The 25310-nt window shown below is 48.3% G+C and overlaps 6 pseudogenes, besides 1 other annotated feature; 1 reads left to right on the top strand and 5 right to left on the bottom strand.

The window, feature by feature from the left end:
* MTCO2P7 (MT-CO2 pseudogene 7) lies at positions 46–711 on the bottom strand (annotated as a pseudogene).
* On the bottom strand, positions 854–2395 carry MTCO1P7 (MT-CO1 pseudogene 7; annotated as a pseudogene).
* On the bottom strand, positions 2795–3824 carry MTND2P22 (MT-ND2 pseudogene 22; annotated as a pseudogene).
* On the top strand, positions 3894–3965 carry NMTRQ-TTG7-1 (nuclear-encoded mitochondrial tRNA-Gln (TTG) 7-1; annotated as a pseudogene).
* MTND1P29 (MT-ND1 pseudogene 29) lies at positions 4034–4517 on the bottom strand (annotated as a pseudogene).
* Positions 23566–24801, bottom strand: MED15P5 (mediator complex subunit 15 pseudogene 5; annotated as a pseudogene).
* Positions 23986–24487: an enhancer, noted in NCBI's record as "H3K4me1 hESC enhancer chr2:131009389-131009890 (GRCh37/hg19 assembly coordinates)". NCBI's record gives its function as "activates a minimal SCP1, AML or CMV promoter by ChIP-STARR-seq in primed H9 embryonic stem cells {active_cell/tissue: H9 hESC(primed)}" and the evidence as "EXISTENCE:reporter gene assay evidence [ECO:0000049][PMID:30033119]".

Below are 25310 nucleotides of genomic sequence, written 5' to 3'. Positions count from 1 at the left end.
TAACACTGGGGTAATTTTACAGTGATATTATCGTGTGGCTATAGATCAAGTTTCAAAAGTTTTTAATGGAACTAGTTCTAGAACAATAGGTATAAAACCGTGATTAGATCCACAGATTTCTGAGCATTGTCTGTAGTTGAAGCCTGGTCGTGTAGTGGTTAAGGTAAATTGGTTTAAGCGTCCAGGGACTGCATCTGTTTTTAAACCTAATGAGGGAATAGTTCATGAGTGCAGGACATCTTCAGATGAGGTTAACATGCGGATGGGAATTTCTATTGGGAGGATTGTTCGGTTATCGACTTCAAGGAGTCGGAGTTCTTTTGGTTTTAGGTCTGCTGTTGGAAGCATATAAGAATAGAAGCTTAACTCTTCATAATCTGTACACTAGTAGCTTCAATACCATTGATGTCCGATTGTTTTAACGGTGAGAGAAGGCTTATTGACTTCATCTGTTGTATATTACATACGTAGGGATGGGAGGGCAGTTAAGATTAAGATGCTAGCAGGCAAGATCATTCAGACAGTCTCTATTTCTTGGGCATCTATGGTGCTATTGTTAGTCAATTTTATTGTGAGTATTAGAGAAATAACGTATAGAACCAGGGAACTAATTAGGAAAACAATGACAAGGATGTGGTCATGGAAGGTAAGTAGTTATTCTGTAATAGCAAATGAAGCATCTTGAAGACCTAATTGAACTGTATGGGCCATTAAGATATATACGGCTTAACCTATAACTTAACTTTGACAAAGTTATGAAATAATTTCACTAATATCTTATTGAGAAGGTCACAGAGGTTATGGGATTGGCTTGAAACCAGTCTGTGGGGGGTTCGATTCCCTCCTTTTTCACTTAGGTCTTCATGTAGGTTGGTTCTTCGAATGTGTGATGGGTTGGTGGACAGCCATATAGTCATTCTAAGTGGGTAGATGGTTGCTCAACTATTAGAACTTTTCATTTTGAAGTGAAGGCTTCTCAGACCATGAAAATTATTAGTATTACTGCTGTTAGGGAAATAAATGAGCCTAGGATGAAATAATATTTCATGCAGTGTACACGTCAGGATAACTGGAGTAACGTCAAGGCATACCAGATAGGCCGAAGAAGTGTTGTGGGAAAAAAGTTAAATTCGCACTTACAAATATAATAGCAAAGTGAGTTTTAGCATAGATTTGATTGAGTATAACCTGAAAATAGAGGGAATCAGTGAACAAAGCCTCCCATAATGGCAAATATGGCTCCTTTTGATAAGACATAATGGAAATGGGCTACAGCATAATATCATGTAGTACAATATCCAGTGATGAATTGGCTAGTACGATGCCGGTTAGGCCTCCTGTTGTAAAAAGGAAAATAAATCCCAGGGCTCAGAGCATTGTGGGGGATCATTTGATACTACTGCTGTGAAGTGTAGCTAGCCAGCTAAAGACTTTGACACCAGTAGGAATAGCAATAATTATAGTAGCAGAGGTGAAATATGCTCATGTATCTACATCTATTCCTACTGTAAATATGTGGTGGGCCCATACGATAAACCCTAAGAAGCCAATTGATATTATGGCTCATACTATGCCCATATACCCAAATGGTTCTTTTTTTTTCCAGAATAATATGTTATGATATGGGAAATTATCCGAAGCCTGGTAAGATGAGAGAGACTTCGGGGTGACCGAAGAATCAGAATAAATGCTGATATAAGATAGGATCACCTCCACTAGCTGGGTCGAAAAAAAGTAGTATTAAGATTGCGGTCAGTTAACAATATAGTAATGCCAGCAGCTAGGACTGGGAGAGAAAGGAGTAGAAGAACTGCTGTAATTAAGACTGATCAGATGAAGAGGAGTGTGTGATATTGGGACATGGCTGGGGGTTTATATTAATAATTGTGGTAATAAAGTTAATAGCCCTAAAATAGAAGAAACACCTGCCAAATGGAGTGAAAAGATGGTTAAATCTACAGAGGCTCCCGCATGTGTTAGATTTCCTGCTAAGGGGTGGGGGGGTGGGGGTAGACTGTTCAGCCGGTTCCAGCGCCTGCCTCTACTATAGCGGATGCAAATAATAGTAGGAAAGAGGGTGAGAGGAGTCGGAAACTCCTACTATTTATGCAGGGAAATGCTATATTGGGGGGGCAATTATCAGAGGAACTAATCAGTTGCCGAAGCCTCCAATTATAATTGGCATTACTATAAAGAAAATTATGACAAATGCATGAGCTGTAATGATGACATTATAAATTTGATCATCTCCTAAAAGAGTACCTGGTTGGCCCAGTTCAGCTTGAATAAGGAGGCTTAAATCTGGACCCACTATCCCTGCTCATGCACTGAATAGTAGATAGAATATCCCGGTATCTTTATAGTTGGCTGAGAACAGTCAACAGTTGGTGAACATAAGTGAAGTGAGAAAAAGGTAAAATGGCTGAGTAAGCATTAGACTGTAATCTAAAAACAGAGATCAAGACCTCTTTTTACCAGCCCCGAGGTGATTTTCATGTTGAATTGCAAATTCAAAGAAGCAGCTTCAATCCTGCCGGGGCTTCTCCCACCTTTCTCCCCCAATGGCAGGAGAAGTAGATTGAAGCCAGTTGATTAGGGTGTTTATCTGTTAATTAAATGTTCGTGGGTTTAAGTCCCATCAATCTAGTAAGGGCTTAGCTTAATTAAAGTGATTGATTTGCGTTCAATTGATACAGAGTAGAATTTTACAGTCCTTAGGTTTTTGCAGAACTTAAGTATAATGTACTTGCTAAGAGCTTCGAAGGCTCTTGGTCTTACTTAACCTCCGTTTCTAGATTATAAATAGTGTCAATGGAGATATTGGTAGGAGGAAGGTAGAGAAGATGATGAGTGGGGGGAGGAATAATACGGGTTTTGTGTTTTCGAACTGTCATTTTCTTTTTATATTATTGGATGTGGGGAATATTGTCACTGAAGTGGAGTAAATTAAGCATATATAAAAATATAGGTTGAGTAAAGTTATGATGGCTATGATGGTTGGGATAATAAGACTTATTTTTTGTAAACTCTTGGATAATAATTCATTTAGGTAGGAATCCTGTTAATGGGGGTAAACATCCTAGGGATAATAAAATTGATAGGATTATAGATATTAATCATGTTAATTTGTTTTAAATGTGAGATAGTGATAAGGTTGTGGTGCTTGAATTCAGGTTGAGTACTTGGAATGCAGCAATTGTTGGGATGAAATAGATAATTAGGGTAAAAATGGTAATGTTTGGGTTATACATTAGTACTGCTATTATTCAGTCTATATGAGTGGTTGAGGAGTAGGCTAAAATTTTACATGGTTGTGTTTGGTTGAGTCCTCCTCAACTGCCCACTAAAATAGATAGATAGGAGAATATTTGTATTTATTGATGGAAAAATTTGATTGAATTGAATTGAAATAGGGGTTAGTTTTTGTCACGTGAGGAGAAGTATGCCAGATGTTAGAGAAGTTCCTTGGGTTACTTCTGGAACTCAGAAGTGAAAGGGGGTTATTCCTAATTTTATTACTAAGGCTATTATTATTATTAGGGATGAAAACTGATTAACAGTATTTATTGTTGTTCACTGTCCAGATAACAGATTATTGGAGAGAATACCGATTATGAGGACTATAGATGTGGTTGCCTGTATAAGGAAATATTTAGTGGCTGCTTCTGTGGAGCGGGGATTTATTTTTTAATTAAGATTGGGGCGAGGGCTAGTATATTTCTTTCTAAGCCTGTTCAGATGAAAAATCAGTGTGAGGCTAGCATTGTGATAAGGGTACCTGTAGAAATAGTAAAGTAGATGATAAGCTGAGCTAATAGGTTAATTAGTATGGGAAGGATGTAACCAACATTTTTGGGATATGGGCCTGATAGCTTATTTAGCTGACCTTACTTTAGGACGTGGTGTGATAGGTAGCATGGAGAATTTTGGATTCTCAGGGATGGGTTCAATTCCTATAGTCCTAGAAATATGAGGATTTCAACCTCTGTTGTTTATTCTGTCAAAGTAATTCTTTTGTCAGACATGTTTCTTACGTTTGGGGTGGGATGCTGGAGATTATGATGGGTATTGAGATGTATCATACACAGAATGCTAGTGTAAGTGGTAGAAAGTTTTTTCATAAGAGATGTATAAGTTAATCATAGCAGAATTGGGGATAAGCTGTTCGAATTCATAAAAATAGGGAGGTTAAGAGGAGGGTCTTGGTAATGAAATATGTAGTATAGAGTTCTGGTGAATACATAGAGTGTAATTGTTCCTAGGAAAATTGTAGTAGTTAGGGAATTTATTATTATAATATTCATGTATTCTGCTATAAAGAAGAGGGCAAATGGACCTGTGGCATATTTGATGTTGAAACCTGAGACTAACTCTGATTCTCCTTCTGTTAGGTCAAAAGGGGCTCGGTTAGTTTCTGCTAATGCAGAAATAAATATTATGGCTAGGGGTCATGATGGTAGGAGTAGCCAGAGGGATTCTTGTGTTGTGATAAGTATATATAAATTGAATGAGCTGCTGTTGGGGGAAGTCAGGGACCCCGAATGGAGGGACCGGCTGAAGCCATGGTAGAAGAACGTGGATTGTGAAGATTTCATGGACATTTATTAGTTCCCCAAATTAGTACTTTTATAATTTCTTACGCCTGTCTTTACTACAGTCTCTGAACATAAATTGTGAAGATTTCATGGACACTTATCACTTCCCCAATTAATATCCTTGTGATTTCCTATGCCTGTCTTTACTTTAATCTCTTAATCCCGTCATCTTCGTAAGCTGAGGAGGATGTATGTCGCCTCAGGACCCTGTGATGATTGCGTTAACTGCACAAATTGTTTGTAGAACATGTGTGTTTGAACAATATGAAATCTGGGCACCTTGAAAAAAGAACAGGATAACAGCAATGTTCAGGGAACAAGAGAGATAACCTTAAACTCTGCCAATGAGCCAGGCGGAACAGAGCCATATTTCTCTTCTTTCAAAAGCAAATGGGAGAAATATCACTGAATTCTTTTTCTCAGCAAGGAACATCCCTGAGAAAGAGAATGCATCCCTGAGGGTAGGCCTCTAAAATGGCCGCTTTGGGGGCAGCCATCTTTTACGGTCACAGCTGTGGGATGAAATAAGCCCCAGTCTCCTGTAGCGCTCCCAGGCTTATTAGGATGAGGAAATTCCCGCCTAATAAATTTTGGCCAGACCGGTTGTCTGCTCTCAAACCCTGTTTCCTGATAAGATGTTATCAATGACAATGCGTGCCCGAAACTTCATTAGTAATTTTAATTTCGCCCCGATCCTGTGGTCCTGTGATCTTGCCCTGCCTCCATTTGCCTTGTGATATTCTATTACCTTGTGAAGCATGTGATCTCTGTGACGCACACCTTATTCGAACACTCCCTCCCCTTTTGAAAATTACTAAGAAAAACTTGCTGGTTTTGTGGCTCGGGGGGCATCACGGAACATGCCAACATGTGATGTCTCCCCTTGACACCCAGCTTTAAAATTTCTCTCTTTTGTACTCTGTCCCTTTATTTCTCAGACCAGCCAACACTTAGGGAAAATAGAAAAGAACCTATGTGAAATATCGGGGGTGAATTTCACCCGATATCTGGCTGAATTTCCCCTGATAAGCTGCTTATCAGTAGAACTGATAATAGGCTGATGGCTAGGGTAACTTCATATGAAATTAGGCGATGGCTTGTAATGTGCCGATTAGTCATAGTTTGAATAGGTTGCTCATCCTGATCATAAAATAAAGTAGATGACTATTTTGAGGGGTTGGCTAAGGCATAATTATCTAGGTCACTCAGGAGGTCAAGTGAAGATAGTACTAGCATTATTAAAAGGAGGAGGAGAAAAATTAAACCTAGGATATCTTTGATTGCATAGGAAGGGTGAAAAGTGATTTTATCGAAGTGCCCCCTCTCCACTTCATGCACTCACTGAATGCCATCTAATGCTTTAGGGTATTAGCCACAGGGCCTTTCTCACTTTCTCTTTGGGTCCCAGACCCCAAGAATCCTCCCAGGAGATCCCATTCCCAGAGCCTCCCTCCCAGGCATCCCCCCACTCCTGGGCTCCCCACACTCCAAGATCCTTGCTCACAGTCACCCATGATCCCAGGGCTGTCATTCGCAAGGGCTGAGAGGCCTCAGCCTCCATGCCCCCAAAATTGCAGGGTTCCCTTTGGGGCGGTCACCTGACCCCAGTGTCCTTTAAGGCCCTGGTGGTCCTGCCTCTCCCAGCTGCCCCAACTCTACTGTATTCTCCCCATGCTCCCCACATGGGTGCTGCAGAACAAGTGAAGGGCACAGATGGTCTGGGGGTTCTTGAAGATCAGGGATGCAGCCTCTGCTTCAAAGACACCTTCAGCCACCCCCTACTGCCCTCAGGGACAATGTGACAGACACAGAAAGTCCAGCCTATAAGGGGAGACCCTGGTCTCTTTCCCTTGGAGGTAAGAGGGGAAGGGCTTATTGAGAGTATGGTCCAGAGCAGATACTCCTGGCCACAGAGGAGCTCCAGCTCAAAGAGGTCACAGGAAAAGTGGGGGGCAGTGAGGGGGGTGAAAGGGGTTGGAAAGTAGGGCCCTGGAGCTGTCAGTCTCCTTGACACCTGGCTCACCCTGGATCCCTGGAGATCCTGAATCTCCTGGCTCCCCCTGCAAAGAGATTGATGTCAAAAACCTATTTGCCCCATCAGAAAATCCTGGTATTCCTCACATCTCATTCTTTTATGTCTCCCCAATCAAAGTTGTCAGAAAACCAACTTTCATCCCTCAGTTGAAATACTTGTCCATTCACCCCCTTCCCAGTGACCATCTCTCCAGGGGGACCCAGGTTCCCAATGCGTCCTGGGGCGCTTTGTGGGCCCTGAAGGAGGAGCAGAAATAGGCGTCATTGCTTAGGGAGGTGGGCCCATTTCTGGGGCAGAGGCCAGGATAAGTGCTCCAAGGTCACTACAGGGAGACAGTGAAGCCCTCCTGGGGAAAGGGGCTTCTCTTGGCCCCTGAGACAAGACTAGAGTTTATGGCCTGGGGAAAGGGAGGCAGAGGACCAGACACATTAATCAGGAAGACCCTAGGGACAGAGGTGGGCTGAGTCAGGAGAATGGGGGCAGGGGCTGGGGTCCTCACTGGGGTGAGGAAGGAGCTGGCTCACCCAGGCTCCCTGGGAGCATGGAGAGAGAGGACACTCATGCCACACACACCCTGTCTCTGGGGGGCCCATGGAGGCCTTCGCCCCCGATGTTCCCTATGGGGGAAACAGAGTGGGAGGAGCTGCTCCTCAGTTGTCCCCAAGGTCAGGTGGTTGAGGGAGAGCTGGGGCTCAGTGGGCAGGGGTCAGGGGGAGCCCTGCAGAGACCACTGACCTTAGCTCCAGACTTCCCAGTGGCACCTCGAGGACCCGGCTGACCCTGTGGACCCTAGAGAGGGGAGTGTTGTTGTCAGAAAAACCCAAACCCATTTGGACCTTGAGCCCCCTGTTTCTCTCCCTTGCACTTGCCATGAGGCCCCATTCTCCTCGAGGCCCTGACTTCCTTGACAGGCCCTGGTGGGAATGGAGTGGACATCCCCCGGGGCGTGCCTCCCCACAGAGCCCCCCCCACACCCCTCCAGCCTTTCCCTCCACACCTTCTCCCTATCCCCAGCTTCCTCAGGCTCCGTTCTCCCCACTGACTCCAGGAAAGCCAGGAAATCCCAGGAGTCCCTGGTGAGGAAGGAGAAGCGGGGAAATTGAGAAGTTATGAGAGGTCAGGCTCGGGAAGGAGCAGAGGGGGCCAGCAGAGGCCATGCAGGCAGCGGCATGGAGACCTGGATCCTGCCACAAATGAGGTGGCCTGGGACAAACCCCTGCTGCTCTCGGCCTCTCTCTCATCTGTAGATTGGGGGCCGCTAAACACTCTTGAGGGCCCCCCACTGCTCTGCTAGTCTGTGCTCCCTGGAATCGAAGTCAGGGAAGTGAAAAGGAGGAGGGGCACACACCCGGTGTCACCCTGAGTTCCTGGCATCCGGGGTAGCCAGGCAGACCAGGAACACCCAGCTTGCCCTGTGGAGGGACAGGGAGCAATTAGGAGTGAGAGGAGGCCCTGGTGCTACTTTCTGGAGACCCCGACCCTCACATGTGAGGGCCATGCCCCATCCCCCAGTGCACCCACACACCCCAGCTCCTAGCCCCTTCTCTCCTGCCCCATGGCTGCCTTTTGCAGTATCTCCTTCCAGAGGGTGAATTTTCCCCAACTCTAGTGCTGGGATCCTGCTTTCCTGTGCCTGCAGCCCTGTCAAGTCCTCAGGGTCACTGTGATCCAGCTGCAGCCCACCTGCCGACCTCAGTACCATCTGTCCCAGCACCCACTCCTGCTCCATCCACCAAGATCAGTCACCCTGCAGGCCCCCTGCCCTTTGCCCACGTGGCACAACACCCCAACTCCCCAACCTGTCCCCTTCCTCCTGATGTTCCAGGGCTCCTCCTGCCCAGGATGCTGTGGAGCAAGGGTTGGGAGCAGCAATTCTGCAGCCAGACTGCCCTGACTCAGCCCCTGGCCTGCCCATCACTGCTGGTGTGATGACCAAGCCTTCCTGTGCCTCTGGAGAGTCTCATCTGCAAAACAGGACCATCCACGCCCACCTCACAGGATGGAGAGAACACCTTAGCACAGTGCCTGCACATGGCGAGGGCTGGGGGGAGTCAGCCCTGGAGACCACAAGTCTCACTGCTGTTGGACACTCCCTTTTCGAAGCTACTGCTCTGAGCCTGGGCATGTTCACTTTGCCTGGGACCTGCAGCCACTCTGTGCCTCATCTCCAATCAACTCTTCACACAGTGGCTTTTCCTTGACTTTTCCTATAGGTTCCTCAACCCATCAGCAGCCAGCAGGTGCCGTTTACAGAGAGAGGAGCATAATTAAGGCACGGCCATCTTCAATTGACTGGCTGATGTCAGCTGTGGGCACCCTGCATGCCCGTCCTGACCTAGTGCCCACATCCCTAGAGGGTCCAGGCACAGACCTCTCTTCCCATCATCATCTTGCCTGTGAGCCCTGGGAAGCCCAGGATCTCTAGTCAGTTCATTGTTTCCTTTTGCTCCTTGGGACCATCCTCTCCTCTGGAACCAGGGCTCCAGCCTCACCATGAGTGAGAGAGTGGGAGAGGTAAGCGTGGAGGCCTGGGGATGAGGTCTGGGCCCAGAGGAGAAAGGGGCACCAGTGAGGCCGAGTGGGGCTGGCGGATCCCAGTAGCTGTTGCAGGAGAGGGAGCCTGTGGGGTATAGAGAGTGTGGTGATCCAGGGCCAGCGCGATGCAGATCATGGGTTTGCTGTCCTGCAGGGACCAGGCCCCCAAGGATGCACAGCACTGGAATTGAGGAACCCGGGGCCTCCATGGAATGAACCGGTGCTTGGGGGCTCCAGAGTGGAGAATCATTAGGACATGGAGTTGGGGCCAGTGTGGGGTCTCTACTCAGCCTGACACCTTTCACATCTACGTCACCTTTGAACCTCAGAAAGCCATCCCCTGAGAAAGGTGGAGGTGAGATGACCCCACAGATGACAGAGGGCCGGGGGCTCTAATGGAGGATTCTGAGAACATGGGTGGAAGGGTGGGATCAGGAGCTGGAGGGCAGCCAGGGGCAGGCTGAGGAGCAGCAATGGCAGGAGTGAGGTGCTGGGAAATTCTGCTCACCTTTGCATCTTATGGCCCTTCAGACCCCGATTTCCATCTGCACCCTGAAATTAGAGGATGACAGAGTGGCCAGGGGATGGAGGTGGGTTGGAAGGAGCGAGCCCCTGAGACCCCATCTCGCTCCCTTCAACACAGTCCTTTATCCCCAGCCTGGAGGTCAGTTACCTTGACACCTGGAGGTCCTGGGTATCCTAGAGGGCCCTGAGGTCCAGATGGACCCTGGAAGAAAAAGGCATTTGTTAAGGGTCCCAGGGTGTCACTGAGGGGGGCTTGGGGTGGGAGAAATAAACGTCACGGTGCTGGAGTCTGGGTAGGGCTCCAGGGCACAGGAGTTTCACACCACGTGGACCGTCACTTACTCCTCCAGCATTTACTGAGCGCCTCCTGTGTGCTGGTGGGTCCTCAGCGCTGAGGCCGACCCATGGTCTGCAGTGACCGTGCTATGCCCAGAGGGACGGCTCCTCCCTGGCCTCCCACTGCCTGGGTGCCGGGGCTCCCCAAGCGTGCACCGTCCTGGGATCCCCCTCCCAGCCCAGTTATGCACCATACTGGGGGTGGAGGTGGCAGCAGTGGAGATGAGATCAGGGTCCCTGTGCTCTGCCCAAGGTTAGTGGGAGGGACTAGGGTGGCCATAGTTGCTAATCAGGGATTCCGAGGGGAGAGCCTGGGCAGTGTCAGATGGTGACAGCCTGGGACAGCTTCTTGTGTGCAGGGTGACAGCAGCCCCTGGGGAATGCTGGGTGGGGAAGGGTGGGGGCTGGCTCATCCTCTGTCCCAGCCTGGGGCGGGGGGACTGCAGCCTCTGTCTGTCCCCTGGTGCTGACCCCCCCAGAGAGTCCCTCTGCATCTGCAGCCCCTGTAACTCATCCCTAGTAGGGGCCCAGCCGGCCTGGGCTCTGTCTCCTGGCTCCTGAGCCTCTGGTGTAGCTGTTGCCAGGGATGCCATGTCTGTCCTTGGGGCCAACAGAACCAGGCCCAGAAGTGTCCCCACCCCACATCCCCCCAGAGCGGGTGTGCCCCTGCACAGCCCAGCCCAGCCTGTCAAGAATGGGTCCCAGCGAACAGGGGCCTCTCACCCTCATCTGCCCAGCCTTGGGGAGCCTGGGCTGGGACGGGTGTTGGGGTCCTTAGGCCTGTGGGCAGCAGACACCAGGTCCCCAGTGACCAGACTGTGGCCAGGTTGGCTGAGTGCTCACTGCAGCCTGGGCCAAGAGTGGCCCTGTCCCACTGCCGTACTCACCAGACCCTGTGAGGCCGGTGGGGGGAACCTGGACAGTGCACCTTGTCCAAGGTCCCAGGAAGGGGAGGCGGTTGATGTCCTTGAAGAAGCACAGAACATCCTCACTCTGGCCACCAGGACGGGAGCAGGGAAGCCCCCGTGTCCACAGTGCACGGCCGGGCACATGGTACTCCCTGCCCTTCTTCCTGCCCCGTCATCCAGGCTTGGCCAGGGGCCTGCCCAGTGCTACTCCCCTCCCTCAAGTCCCCGACACCTGCACTGTCCTCACTGACCTGGGAGCCTGTGCCCATTCTCCACTGTGTCCCCCAGTCATGGCCATGAGAGGGACATCTGAACCACGGCAACCACTGGTGAATTTTAGTCAGCCGGGCAGCAGCTGTACCCCCAGGCCAGCTCCCAGTCGCCCACCCTGCACTTGGGGTGCTCCCAATGGGTGTTCAGCCCTGCCTGGGCCAACTCCACTGTGGGGTTTTCCTATTCCCTGGCCATCTGTGGCCACAGCAGAGGGCACCTGCGACTTTAAACTGGGGACCCACCTTGGGGATCCCCTCTGTCTCTTCCCAGGTTCTAGGCACAATGCTGTCCCTCCTGCCTCCTCCTGGCTTCTGGGCCTTGGCACCCACGTCCCCCAACCCTATGCTCCCTGCTGGACCCATCGCCATCCCAGCGCTGCCACCTTCAGCCCACACACATTCCTCTGGCTCTGAAACCCTCCCCTGCCAGCACCAGGCCCCATGCTATGGCCTAGCGCACCCTTTCCAAGGACAGGGAGCAGCTCCTTCCTTGACTGGTCCCAGGCACAGGAGAACCCAGGTCAGAGACTCCCCAAGGAAGTTGCCTGAGCCCCCACTGCACAGAGGTGGAATGTGCCCCCTGGGTCTGCCAGGCCTTGATGTGAGTCAAGCTGGGCTGCCCCAGGAAGCTGCCCCTCCTGAAGTTGGTGTTTGTCCTCAGCTGAAGTGTTTCCCAAATTCACATCTGCTCAGAGCCTCTGAGTGTGATTTTATGTGAAGATGGTGTCTCCATATTGGGGGATGCGATGGAGCTGCCCCTTGGCCCGGCAGTACAGCAGCAGCTGCAGCCTGCCCATGAGAACCCTGACTGCCTTGAACCTCAGGCCTCAGTCACCAAGGGTCACCACGCGGAAGGACCCGGGGGCTGCTGAGCACCAGGGATGGGCTCCTGACTCCTCAGGCCCAGTGCCACTGTGGAAGCTTCTTCTGAACGCCTGAGTCCAGGGCTGGATGCAAGAGCTTAGTGTGCAATGCAGACATTCAGGAAGCGTCACAAGTGTGGGCCCCATCCACACTCAGCCCTTCCCACATCCTACAGACAGTGGGACCCAAGCCTCCACCCTAGCAGCGGCATAAATTCCCAGCCCCTGGGACACCCGCTCTGTGCCCCTGTGGCACTGCCCTTTCCCTCAGCGCCCAGATGTAAGTTCTTAGGCCAAGAGACACGAGAACCACATCAGCCCCCAGCCTCGCCTCCTCTGCCCAGCCATACTTGAGCTGGCCCACTGGCCCACTGTAATTGCAGGCTGCAGCCTCATCTGCTGCTTGGCCCCCGCCTCCCTTCCTCCTACATGTGTGCTTGCAGCTGCAGCCCGGGCTCAGGAGGCAATTGCTTTGCACAGGCCCTGGAACAGCTGGGAGTGAGTGCAGCTGCAGGGCGGGGCTGGGCTGCTCTTCCACCCTGGATGGGGTCTTGTCTGGGAGCATGGTTTCTAAAGGGGGCAGGGCAGGACCCAGCTAGGTAACCTGCAGCCCTGAGATCAGGGACCTGTCCCCATCCACTGAAGGGCCCTGGGTCATGGGGCCTGTGTCACCACCACAGGTGGGGTTCCCACACTGCTATAGTTTTCCCTGAAGGCCACTGATGGAGAAGGGAGATGAGTGAGGAACATGTCCCAACAGCCTGGCCAGGTGGCTCTCATGGGTGCTGTCAAAGGAGAGCACTGGCCCTGCAGGCTCAGGGAGCAAGCGGCATTTCAACTGCCCTCAAAGAATGGACAGATGCAAGTGGTGGGAAGATAAGATGCTGCCCCAAGCATGAGGGAAAATTCCTTGTCCAGTCTCACCAGATCAGACGCTCCCAGTGGAGCAGCAAGGACTGAAATTTAAGGTGAGAGCAGCTCATGGAAAATTTTTTAAATGACAGGCTAGGGAGTTTGGATTCTACTTTTTTGAGCAGAAGTTGAAAACTATGGCTTGTATCCTGATTGACCAGCATGGTGTTTTTGTCTGTGGATGAGTTTCTCTGGGCTGGTGGGGTATGGAATGTGCACCCTTCTATGATTCTGGAGGCCACTGCTGCCTGTGGCTCACTCCTGATTCCTGCCGTTAGGTCATCTTTTCATATCTGGGGATGGATTTGTTTAGAAGGTTTTGGGGAAGAATCTGTAGAATTTGGAATTAGAGAAGTGCAAGGGATCAAAAATCAGTCAGGTTTGAGCCAGGAGTGGGTACCCCAGGAAAGGGTGAGAGAGGGTTCTGGAGTGGAAGACACCTCACAGCTGCCGGCAGGTGGCTGCTAGAGTGGAGCTGGGTTTCAGGGTTGGAGCTGGAAATCAGGGAGCTGCCAACAGGGAAGAGGTAATTATGGGAGACAATGGAGCCTGGAAGGAATGTGCAGGGAAAGGAGGGCAGAGGGCCTGGAACCTTAATGCAAACCCGTGTTACAGACCCAGGAAGAGGAGGTGGTTAGGAAGCAGGAGAGGTGGCTGCCTTGGGGCGCTGGAAAACAACCACATAAGCAAGTCCCAGTGGAGTTCACTGGGGAGGCTGGGCCCTATGCCAGCAGCCATGTGTCAGACACAGGGCAGGGGAGCAGCTGAAAGTCTTCTTCGCAGTTCTAAGAAGTGCCCCAAGCCTGTTTTCACAGCGAGAGGCCCTGCACACCCCTTTCTCCCACTGCCAGGCATACTGTGAACCCTCTCCTGCTCAGGAGGAAGAAGAGCCATCTCCTGGCTTCTCAAGAGCCCTGTGGGGGTGAACTGCCCCTTAGGCTGGGACACAGGCCTGGCTTTCCCGCCCACCCTACAGCCCGGCACAGGTGCTGTGTCTGTCCTGCCTGTTATTTCCAATGTGCATATTCGTGGATGTTTTCCACCCATTTCCATTTATTTTAAAGGAGTTCCTAATGTGTGAGGCTACTTGACATCGAGGCCATTCTGGAAGTGCAGGATTGCCATTTGGGACCCCTCTGCACGTTGCCTGTGCCTGAGAGCATCTGGACTGTATCAAAAGGCTGCTCAGTGCGGCTGCCTGGTTGTTTCCCTGTGCAGCTGTTTTCCTGCACTTTGCTTGGCAGAGAGCTGGGTGGAGGAGTCAGAGAAACCAGGGCCGAAGCTGGCTCTTCTACTTGCCAGGTGAGACTTGGACCTCAGTTTCCATATCTATAAAGCTGAGAGAATCTATTTCTGGAAGGATTAGTGATGTTTCTCCAGTAAGTACCTAGTAGGTACTCAACAAATGCTACTGATGATTTCTGGCGGACGCAGGCTACCATCCATATAGCTGCCTGGTGAGGAGGGAGAAGGGGACAGGATGCCAAGCCGAGTCAGCCGTGTTTAGGAGAATGGAGCACTGGGAAGCCAGGTCACTGTCAGGTGTTTGAAAATGTCTCGGGATAGAGAGATTCCCAACATGGGAGAAAACCCCAAACCAAAAAGACCCAACCAATTGAGAACTAGGTTCACGACCTGTGTACAAAAGTTTTTAAATGTAGCCAAAGTGGCTATTGGCAGGGTTTTTATCATGCACCCAACTGAAATGGTTTGTTGAGGGAAAATTGTAGTTTCATCATTCCATCCATTCTGGGTGTGGTATAGGGTAAAAAACAAAACCGTTCGGGAATAGGAAGATTATGAATTGCCCCCAAATGATGGTCAGAATAGTTTTCTATTATAGAATCTTATTCATTTTAATGTGCCGCTTTTAAGTCTTTTTAGTGGAAAATATTCATTTCGTGTAAGGTTAGTTGTTGGGGTATTTTTTTAATACACTATCTTAAAAATGTCTTGAGGAGAAGCAGTCATAAGGGTTTCCAGCCAAGCCACTCATCTGACAGCTGGATTCATTTCTGTCAACACAGGGCAGTGCGTTACTGTTGAGCTTTATGTGCTAAATACACGTTAGTTCCATATTTTTCTTTAGTTCCTTTTGGCATGGCTGTAGGGAAAAGGATCAACTTTGTGGGTTTGTTCGTTTGTTTGTTTTTGAGATGGAGTCTCGTGGCTGTCGCCCAGGCTGCAGTGCAGTGGCACGATCTCGGCTCACCGCAACCTCTGCATCCCTGGTTCAAGCAAGTCTCCTGCCTCAGCCTCCCAGTAGCTGGGATTATAGGCACCCGCCACCACGCCCAGCTAATTTTTTTGTATTTTTAGTGGAGACGGGGTTTCACTATGTTGGCCAGGTTGGTCTCGAACTCCCGACCTCAAGTGATCCACCCACCTCAGCCTCCCAAAGTGTTGGGATCACAGGCATGAGCCACCATGCCCAGCCTCAACTTTGTGTTTTAACACGAACATCCTTTCTGTTTTAGTTAGGACTTCATATTGTTTGTGACTCCTTTGTGAATGATAGGAAACCGCTTCCACCTGGGTAAACAGTGGAGGACATTTCTGGGTTCAGATAACTTAAAGGATGAGAAGCAGAGCAGGTTTAGGGTCAGTTCGACCAGTGGTTCCACAGTATCACTGAGACCTCAGTTTCTTTGAATTTTGTGATTCTGCTTGCCTTGGTGTTGACTTCATCCTGAGCCTGGCTTCCTGGAGCATGGGCATATGGCTGCAGCAGGTTCAGTCTTACATGCCAAACACTTCCTGTTTCCCATTGTAAAACCCCCTTTCCCATACCCCTCCCCTTAAGTCGCATTGGCCCAAACTGAGCCCCATGTTCAAAGCTAAACCAATCCCTTTGTCCAGGACTTTGCCAACTTTTCATCAGGTTAAGCCTGGATCATTTGAACCAGTGACTATGGGCAGGGGAGACAAATTGAACCCATCAGGGTCCACACCTGGAGCTGAGGTCAGATTTGCTCCATACCACCCCCATGCCCCACATTGTAAGGTGACAGCACAGTGGTCAGGGCTGGAAAGGAAGGGGTCAACCGTGGCATCCACTATAGCCTTGAAGCAGGATTCTGGGCAGCTGTCATTGGGAGTTTGCATATATGGGAGGAGTTAGAGATGAAGGGAGTTCTCCTGGGGAAGCCTCCCTGCTGTGATTGTCAGTGTTGGCCCCACGCTCGTGGACAGCATCCAACTGTCAACTTCACACATGGTCCCTCATTGCTGTCCTAATATCTGGGGGGGTCTCCTTTAACACTCCTTGTTAGAGAATATGGATCATTTTTTTTTCCTTAGAAACCATTTCTTTTTTTTCATCACTGACAATTGCCAACATACAAAGAAGAAAAGAGAAGCAACAACATTCCCGCACATACTCACAAATGGGTGTTTTAAAAAGTAGTGATTCTGAACCTTTGGGGTCAGGTCATAGATCCTTTGGGAAACCTAAGGAAAGCCGTGGGCTGTCTCTAGAAAAACATGCATGCAGGTGCCTTCCTGTGTGATTTCAGAAAGCCAAGCTGCAGAGCGCACGTTGTACCCAGTGGGGGACTTGGAGGAGGTTGTTGTTTTTGTTTTCTTTGTAGGCAGTGAGGCAAGTCCAGGAACTGGATTGCATTCACAAAGGAGGAGGGTTGAGGAGGGTACAAGTCCAGTTATTATAATGAAGTAATTTTTAATCTGATCACTGACAGTGACTGTTTCACTCTGCCAGGAGTGTTCAGAAGTAGCTCCCTGAGGATGGTGGTGTGTCCACCTTCTTTCTCAGCACAGGCCTTGGCACAATTTTTTTTTAACTTTCTTCTTGCAACAAGCATATATTGAGTTCTTTGTGTTTATGTTCCAGGATTGTGGTGGTCTTGGCTTACTAAGGTGTTAGACGGTCCCTTCATGTTTCTGGTCACGAGTTCTCTGAATCCACTTTAATTGTATTTTGCTTTGAAATCAGGATTTGGATAATGAGCCAGCATTGACCCCTTTTCTCTGTAGCATGAAAGTTCTGAGGTCTTAGTGCCCTGTTGTTTTCCTGGAACCCCTTCTTTGTCTGTGTCTGTTTGTTTCTCTCTGTCTCTGTGTCTTTCTGTCTCTCTCTCTCATGCCTCTCAGTTCGGCATGTTACCATCTTGGCTCCACACAAAGCCACTTTCTCTCCCCCTCCCTCCCTCTCTGTCTCTCTTCCTCCTTCCTCTGTATCTGTTCCCCTCACCCTTTCTAATGTGTATCTGTATATGCTCTATCTGTTTGTATTTTTGTAAGATATAATTTCAAGTGACAAAAAGGTAATGCTCAAATCTCATCTGTATCACATAACGGAGGGAAAGTGCCTGCCTGGAATAACATCCTATACCTCCACAACTCAGCATGCCTTCCTTGACCTGGGTTCATATTAAAAGAAATGACAACAGTTTTCTTAAAAATGACTTTAGCCAGTCAAACAGGATTCTGTTCTGAAGGACCTTCCTCTAAAGGCAGACCTGAAGTCTGTGGAGTGGCCTGGTAAGAATTTTCTGTGTCTTCAGTAAAGACAAATGCACTATCTAGTGGGGAATTTAGTGAGATAAATAGCAAAGTTAAGAATAATGGCACAGAATAGGAAGGACTGAAGCAGAAGCTATTAGGCAATGGAATCCATGAATAAATAGGAACCATCCCATGAAGGGTGAGCAAGTAGTCGAAAGAAGTTAGCATGAGTAGAAGAAAAGGAGAATAAGAGTAAGATGGAGCTGGGGCAGCTCCCATTTATTCTTCTCAGTGAAGGAATACTGCCAAGGGCAGCTGCCTGTTAAGTGTTGCTGTGGAAACACTTAACAAATGGAAACTTGACAAGAAGTATGTAACATGTTCCTGAAGTACAAGAAGCTTCTAATACTGAGCAAGAAAATGATACATGTCAACTGTAAGGATGCCAAAACAAAATGAGTGGTTACCAACGAGTAATTTCACTCTCACGTACCATTTGACAATAGTTAGAGACATTTTTGGTGGTCACAAAAGGGTGCTGCTACTGGTGGACTGCTGTGTAGTGAGTGGAGGCTGGAGATGCTGCCACAATTCTACAATGCACTGGATAGCTGCCTAGCGACAGAATCATTCAGCCCCAACATCAAGAGTGCCAAGGTTGAGAAACACTTACCTAAACCACGACACGTTGGTTCAAAACAAATTAACCTTTCTTTCTAATTCTGACATATTTCAAATCAATTCTTAGCCCTTTAAACTATGTGCTTCTACTATGAATATCACTAGTCATTATAATTGAAAACATCTGAAGTTAAGTACATAAACTTCTACAATTTAAAGTTATTATTTTGTTTTGAAAGATTCCACTCCTTATACAAGAAAAGGAATATGTTGAAAGGTTCTCTGAGTTGTATTATTGCAGTGTTGCTGATGTAAGTAAAAGGAATCGGCAGAAATGGATATTTTCAGACAATAGGGAAATAATGAAAGTGATGAAATTGCAGAGTCAAATCTGTTACCTTTATAAAGCAAAATGTCCAAAGCCCATTGCCCTGTAGCCCTAGTCCATCTAAATGTGCGTATTTCGGCCTTCTGCAGACTTAATATACTTATTCAATAGCTGACTCTAGGCAGGTAAGTGCTCAATAATGTGGCCATGTTAGAGTTACACATGGACGGGTAAATGTTTACCTAGTGTGATTTCAACTTCAGAGAGAAAAAAATATATTCTTCACTGACAAAGGGGAAATGATTGCCTTGTCTTTTCAAAGTCATTAGATTCTACCATTAGATACAGAAAAATCCTAGGCAGGGTAACATACAGATTGAGCATCTTAATCCAAAATACTGAAATCTGAAATGCTCCAACATCTGAAACTTTTTGAGTGCTGACATGATGCCATAAGTGGAAAATTCCACACCTGACCTTAGGTGATGGGTCACAGTCAAAATGCAGTCAGATTTGTTTTTATGCGTAAAATTATTTAAAATATTTTATCTAATTAGTTTTAGGCTATTTGTATAAGGTGTATACAAAACATAAATGAACTTTCTGTTTAGACTTGGATTACATCCCCAACATATCTGATTATGTATATGCAAATATTTCAAAGTCTTAAAAAAAAAAAACCCAAATCCACAATACTTCTGGTCCCAAGGTAAGGGGATCCTTAGCCTGTATTAAATTTTAATAGCTGTTACCATTTTAATAGGAATTAATCTTAGAATTTTTAGAGATTTAACAGAGGTTTAAAATTCTTGTTGTTTTTAGGGTGGAGAAGAGAGCAGTTTAGAACAGAGGGCTGAGACTTCAGTAGGGAGCTTTCACAAGGCAGGGGCAAACCATGAACAACATGAAGCTTTGAGGAAAGCATAACACATCGAATGCTTCATAATTGAACTAAGTTTCTCCTAAATAGTTTACATTTATTTATCAATAATGTTATTTTTATTTTCCTTAAAAAATCTAGTAAGGTTGCTATGACAATTTTACATGTGTGGAAACTGAGGCCTGATTAGGAGTTCATCAATGTGCCCAGGGTCACATAGTGAGCAGATGGCAGAATGGGGTTTTGAATTGAGTTGTGACTGACCAGACAGAATGTACTTTAAAAAAATTGTCCCTCAAAATCCTTTCATGAAGATTATGTGAACGAACATTTAATGACTGGCCATAAAGTAAGGAAAACTACCATTACTTGATGATTTCTCTGCTAAATCCTATGCAAATATAGTATAGTAAATACTGTTCTAGTATAGTCTTTACATAAATTACTTTATGAACAATAATAGCTGCACAATTTGTTAGAGATATGCTCAGGAATAAACGAAACCAAAATTCAGTGGCTTGAACAAAAGAGGTTCATTTTACCTGTATCAAGAATCTTGGCTGGGCACAGTGGCTCACACCTGTTAGCCTAGAACTTTGAGAGGCTGAGGCGGGAATATCGCTTGAGCCAGCAGTTGAGACCAACCTGGGAACATGGCGAGACCCCCATCTCTACAAAAAATTTAAAAATTAGTTGGGTATGGTGGTATGCACCTGTAGTCTGAGGTACTCAGGAGGCTGAGGTGGAGGGATCACTTAAGCCTGGGAGATCGAGTCTGCAGAGAGCTATGATCGCACCATGCCACTCCAGCCTGGGCGACAGAGTGAGATCCTGTCTCTAAAGAAAAAAAAAGGAAGAGAAAGAATCTTATCCTATGTAATCAAGCCCTAGTATTTGTTGATTAAGTCCCTGAAAAGTCCACCAAAATCTCTTCATAAACCAAAGGCAAGTTTACTGCTTACTGTTGTATGGGACACCACCACTTGCAGAGCATCTTACTAGCTACTTATAGTAAGGAGGCCACAGGCAGGACGGTTGTGAGATATTTGGTGTCTGGTTTAACATGGCTTTCTTAACGTGAGGCGTGCTTGAAACTGGGTAAACTTCAAGGTACAATAGCTAAGGGTTAGTGAACACAGGGAGGTAAGGATTTGGAAGGGACTCTTGTTGGGTAGATAGCCAGTTGATTAGTTGGTTTGGATAATCTGCTGTCCTGAGAAGAGAGAAATGAGGATTAGTTGAGTGGTCTGTTGTTCAGATAAACAGATTAGGGGATGTTCCTGAAACTAACAATAATGTAAGTTTCAGTGTTATCGGGGCAAGAGTTTCTCCACTGAGTAAAGTCACTTAGATGCAGATGTGTTGGTTCTCACATTGTAGCTCAAAAATTTCATCAATGATTCAGGTTTCTTTATTTTTCCATTCTTACAGTTTGAAGGCAGCTGGAACAGTTTCAAACATCACACCCACATCCCAGATATTAGAAAGACAAGGGAAAAGAGAAGGGGCAAACAGCTAAAATCTAGGTCACCTGAGTCTGTCCGGTTTTTCCAGAAGTCTTGTATGTTGGTATCATTCCATTGGCCACAAGGTCTCATGACTAGCTCTAGCCAGAAGGAAACTGAGAAGGCAAATCTTTAGGCTTTACAGCTTCTCCAGCAGAAGGAGTAAAAAGAGGTTATAAATTGATTTTGTGTTGCTAATACACCGTGATGATTACCCAGATGATTTTATCTAAATAATTTTCTAACTAGACAGTATTAATATTAGCAGGTATCGTGATGAATCATGCTGTATCCCCAGGCACTCTGCCAGGTTATTTACATTCATCACTTCATGAAACTTCACTCTAACCATATTTTGTAGATATTAGTATTATTCCCTTTATGGATCAGGAAAGTGATGGTAATTAACTTGCCTAAGGACACAGAGTTGGTAGATATCAGAGAAGGGATTATAAGAACCCAGAACTATTTTACTCGAAAGTTTCTGCTACACATCCACTGCTTCTTCCAGTGTAAAGATGTAGCACTCAACTGTAATGGACATATTAACTGTGATTCATTAATGATGATTAATTAACTCTCCTGTATCCAAACAATGTCAGTTACAATCAGAAACTCCTATAATCAGATAATAAATCAAATTTACCTACATATCCAGAATGTTTTTTACACGATAAAATCTGACTGTAAGAAAAAATAAATTTCACCTAATGTGGAATAAAGTAGTGTAGCATTTTTTAAAATGTACCAAAGGCAATCAAATGAAACTGGTGTTATGAGCCATATTTTTGTTGGCAACTGTTATCACCCAAACACACATATTCAGAATAATTTCATCTTATTCAAAGATTCAAGATTCAAAAATATTTGTGAAAACTCATCTGAAAAACTCATCTGCAGCATGAACTTTTTCCTATTTTCCTGTAGTATCCCCACATCTAATTATTTTAAATAGCAATCTCAGTAAAATTATAAAATTAATAAAATTATTTTGTCCTAGCATGCTGCAGATTCTTCCATGTTTGCACTGTAAAATCAACTAATCGAAAATTTGAAACACACTGTTGCCTGTTACTTTTTCTGAGTCTATGAAAATATAAATTGTCATCTTTTCTTGCTGTTATTTTGCTATTCAGCGGGTACACAAATGCACATGACAAAATGAGGATCGCCTTATTTGTAAGACTGAAAATAAGGCTTGTGTTTCTCTCAAGTCGTGCTTGTATTTCTCACTGGCTATCAGGTGTCCCATCCCAGCCCCTGCTGTCCGCAGGGACCCCTCTGGGCAGCTGAGTCTTGCTCATTCCAGGACCTGGCAGCTACCCTGGAAAAAAACCATTGGCAAAGCTGTGCAGGCCCTCTTTGGAGACCGGAGGGCTTTCCTGGTGCACTGCCTGGGCCGGCAGCTTCCTCACAAACACAGCACACTGCTGGGGGCAAGCTGCTGGCCTCTCCTGCCTCACACAGGGCCGCTTAGGCGTGGTCCTACCAGTTCATCATTCTCCTGGGCAGCCATCTCCAGAGTGCCTTGCCCAGCCCATGTGGCCCCCATCGCCATAGCCCCAGGTGCCACCATTGTCCTAGGTGGTCAGCTCAGTGCCACCCTCACTGGCAGCCCACCCTCCCGTCCCACAGCCCAGATTTCCTGGCATTAAGCTCAGTCTCTTGCTGCTACAGGGAGCAAGAACTGTGCCAGGAAGCTGGGGGGCGAACAAGGTGTAGGAAGAGGACCCTGCGACAGAGGAGAGGTAAGGTCTGGGCATCCAGGGCCAGACTGGTCTCTGCCAGCTCCAAGGCTGACAGCATCCTGAGGGGACAGCGGGCCCCAGATGGACGGAGAAGGGGTGCTGCAGTGATAAACCCCGGACAAACACAGGAGTGATACAATTGTAAGAATCACGAGGCCGGGCATTGTGGCTCACACCTGTAATCAGCGCTTTGGGAGGTCCAGACAGGCAGATTGCCTGAGCTCAGGAGTTGGAAACCAGCCTGGGCAAGATGGTGAAACCCCGCCTCTACTAAAATACAAAAAATCAGCTGGGCGTGGTGGCCGGCGCCTGTAATCCCAGCTACTCAGGAGGCTTAGTCACGATGATTGCTTGAACCCAGGAGGCGGGGATTGTAGGGAGCCAAGATCGCGCCATTGCACTCCAGCCTGGACAACAAAGCGAAACTCTGTCCAAAAAAAGAAAAATAAAAGAAAAAATCACGGATGATGGGGCAGCGCACATTAAAAAGGGGGATCCTGGGGCCAGAGATCTGCTCTGGGTCCCGAGTGTGGGTAGCAGAGGGAGGCACGGCTCCCCTGCCAGGGCTGCACACTCTGCAGTGGCGCAGAGCGCCCGGGGTGCTCTGAGCGCGGGGCCCCCAGACATCGCGGGGCATCCTGCACAGCTGGGGTGCGGCCCTGAGCCGAGAGCGGGCCAGGGGTGCGGAGGACAGGATCTCCGATGCCCCCGCTCCTCGGGCGCCCGCAGGGCTGAGCTCCAGCTGGGAGCGGGGACCCGGCAGCCTCTAGGCCCGGGCTCCCTCCAGAGGCAGCGTTCCACCCTGACCCTAGCTTCCGCCTGCGGCGTCCAGATGCCGAAAGCAGGGAGCCTGAATCCAAAACTGCGATCAGAGAATCGTGTGTGTGAAGGGTTTCTTGTGTCCTCCGTGTTCCCCTGTGGAAGCGAGTGGAGGTGCCTCGAGCCTGCACACAAGATGCTCTCAGGAGACCCTGAGCTCCCATTGCGCCTGTGAAAGGAAAATATTTTGGGCCCCCCAAAATCATTAAATTAAACTTAAGCTTGGAGCTGCTTAGGGCAAACCTGCCTCCCATTTTATTTAAAGTCTCTCCCCTGCTCACTGAGATAGATGCGTATTTGATTTGCCTCCTTTGGAAAGGTGTTTGTGCTGGGCAGCACCAAGGCGCGGTGCAGGGAATGGTTCAGGACTGCGAGCAGATGCGGGCCAGGACTGTGTGTCCAGGAGCGGCAGGCGCCAAGTGCTGCTGCGTGGTCAGCGGCACCAGGTGCAGTCGGGGCTTGGGCACCTCCAGGTCATGCTTGCGTTTCTCCAGGGCGATCTCAGGCTTCCACAGGGTCTCCAGGGGACACAGCTGGGAGCCGACTGTCAGAGCGTCCAGAAGGCTCGTCTTACCGCAGCCCTTTTGCTGTCTTGGTTCCCGTGGATCCCGTTGCTCAGGCGGCGCAGGGGCTCCCTGTACTTGGGCAGCGGCTTTAGCTTGTCCAGGCACTGCTGCTGCTCGGCCCGGCTGGAGCCCGCTGGGCTCATGACTGAGCCGCGTTTCATAGGGGCGTTTAAAGATCCGGGTCATGGGACTCTGAAGTTCTGGTGCGCCATCCCTGGGCTCTGGGAGGGTTTCGGCGAGGGGCTGGGCAGGAAGCTAGCCACTGGGCGCTGGGGCAGGGCCGGAGCTGATGTTGGAGTTGGGCTGTGAGACCGGGGCTAGTCGGGTTGTGAGGACGGCAGTCGGGGAGGGGACATCGACTGCAGGGTCTGCACCTGTTGGCCCTGCGACGGCGAGGACATCATGGGGAGGCTGCTCTGGCTACCATGGACTCCGGGAGCCACCACCTGGGGAGCCTCAGCGGTCCGCACCACTGTCAGCTACTGCGTCCAGGACTGCACCGGCTGCAGCGGGGCTGCACTTGCAGCTGCTGAACTACCCTTGGAGCTCAGACAAATTGCAGCTGTTGTTGGGCATACATCTGTCCAGGGAATGCTTGCACTTGCCACACCAAAGGCTGGGTCTGTGACTGACTGTGGCGGGAGCTGCAATGGTTGGTTCTGAGCAGCTGGAGGTTGCCGGGACTATGGCAGCTGCTAGTGGTGGTGTGGTTGACGTATCTGCTGCAGCTGCTGGGGCAGGACCTGGGAGGGGGCAGGCTGCAGCAGACATTGCATTGGTGGCTGCTGTATTGGCACTGGGCCTGCAAAGCCTGTTGCTGCTGCTCCTGTAGCTGCAGCTGTGCCCTGTGCTGCTGCGTCTGTTGCTGGTTTTGATGATTCAATATAACTGGAAATTTTATTGGTCTTTTGTATTTTTTTTAGTCTCCATTTCTGTTCTGATTTTGTTTTGTTTTGTTTTGAGACGGATTCTTGCTTTGTCACCCAGACTGGAGTGCAATGGCACGATCTCAGCCCACTGTAACCTCTGCCTCCCCCGTTCAAGCGATTCTCCTGCCTCAGCCTCCCAAGTAGCTGGGATTACAGGCACCAGCCACCATGCCTGGCTAATTTTTGTATTTATAGTAGAGACTCGGTTTTGCTATGTTGGCTAGGCTGGTCTCAAACTCTTGACCTCAGGTGGTCCGCCTGCCTTGGCCTCCCAAAGTGCTGGGATTACGGGCGTGAACCACCACCCTGGCCTCTGCTCTGATCTTTGTTATTTCTTTTCTTCTACTAATTTTGGGTTTGCTTTGCTCTTGCTTTGCTATTTCTTTAAGATGCAACATTAGGTTGTTTATTGGAAGTTTTTCTACTTTTTATGTAGGTGTTTATTGCTATAAACTTCCCCCTTAGTACT

The sequence above is a fragment of the Homo sapiens genome, chromosome 2 (genome assembly GCF_000001405.40).
Source record: "Homo sapiens chromosome 2, GRCh38.p14 Primary Assembly".
NCBI classification, from domain to species: Eukaryota; Metazoa; Chordata; class Mammalia; order Primates; family Hominidae; genus Homo; species Homo sapiens.
Note: the sequence above shows the minus strand (reverse complement) of the source record. Positions and strands in the feature narration are given on the sequence as shown.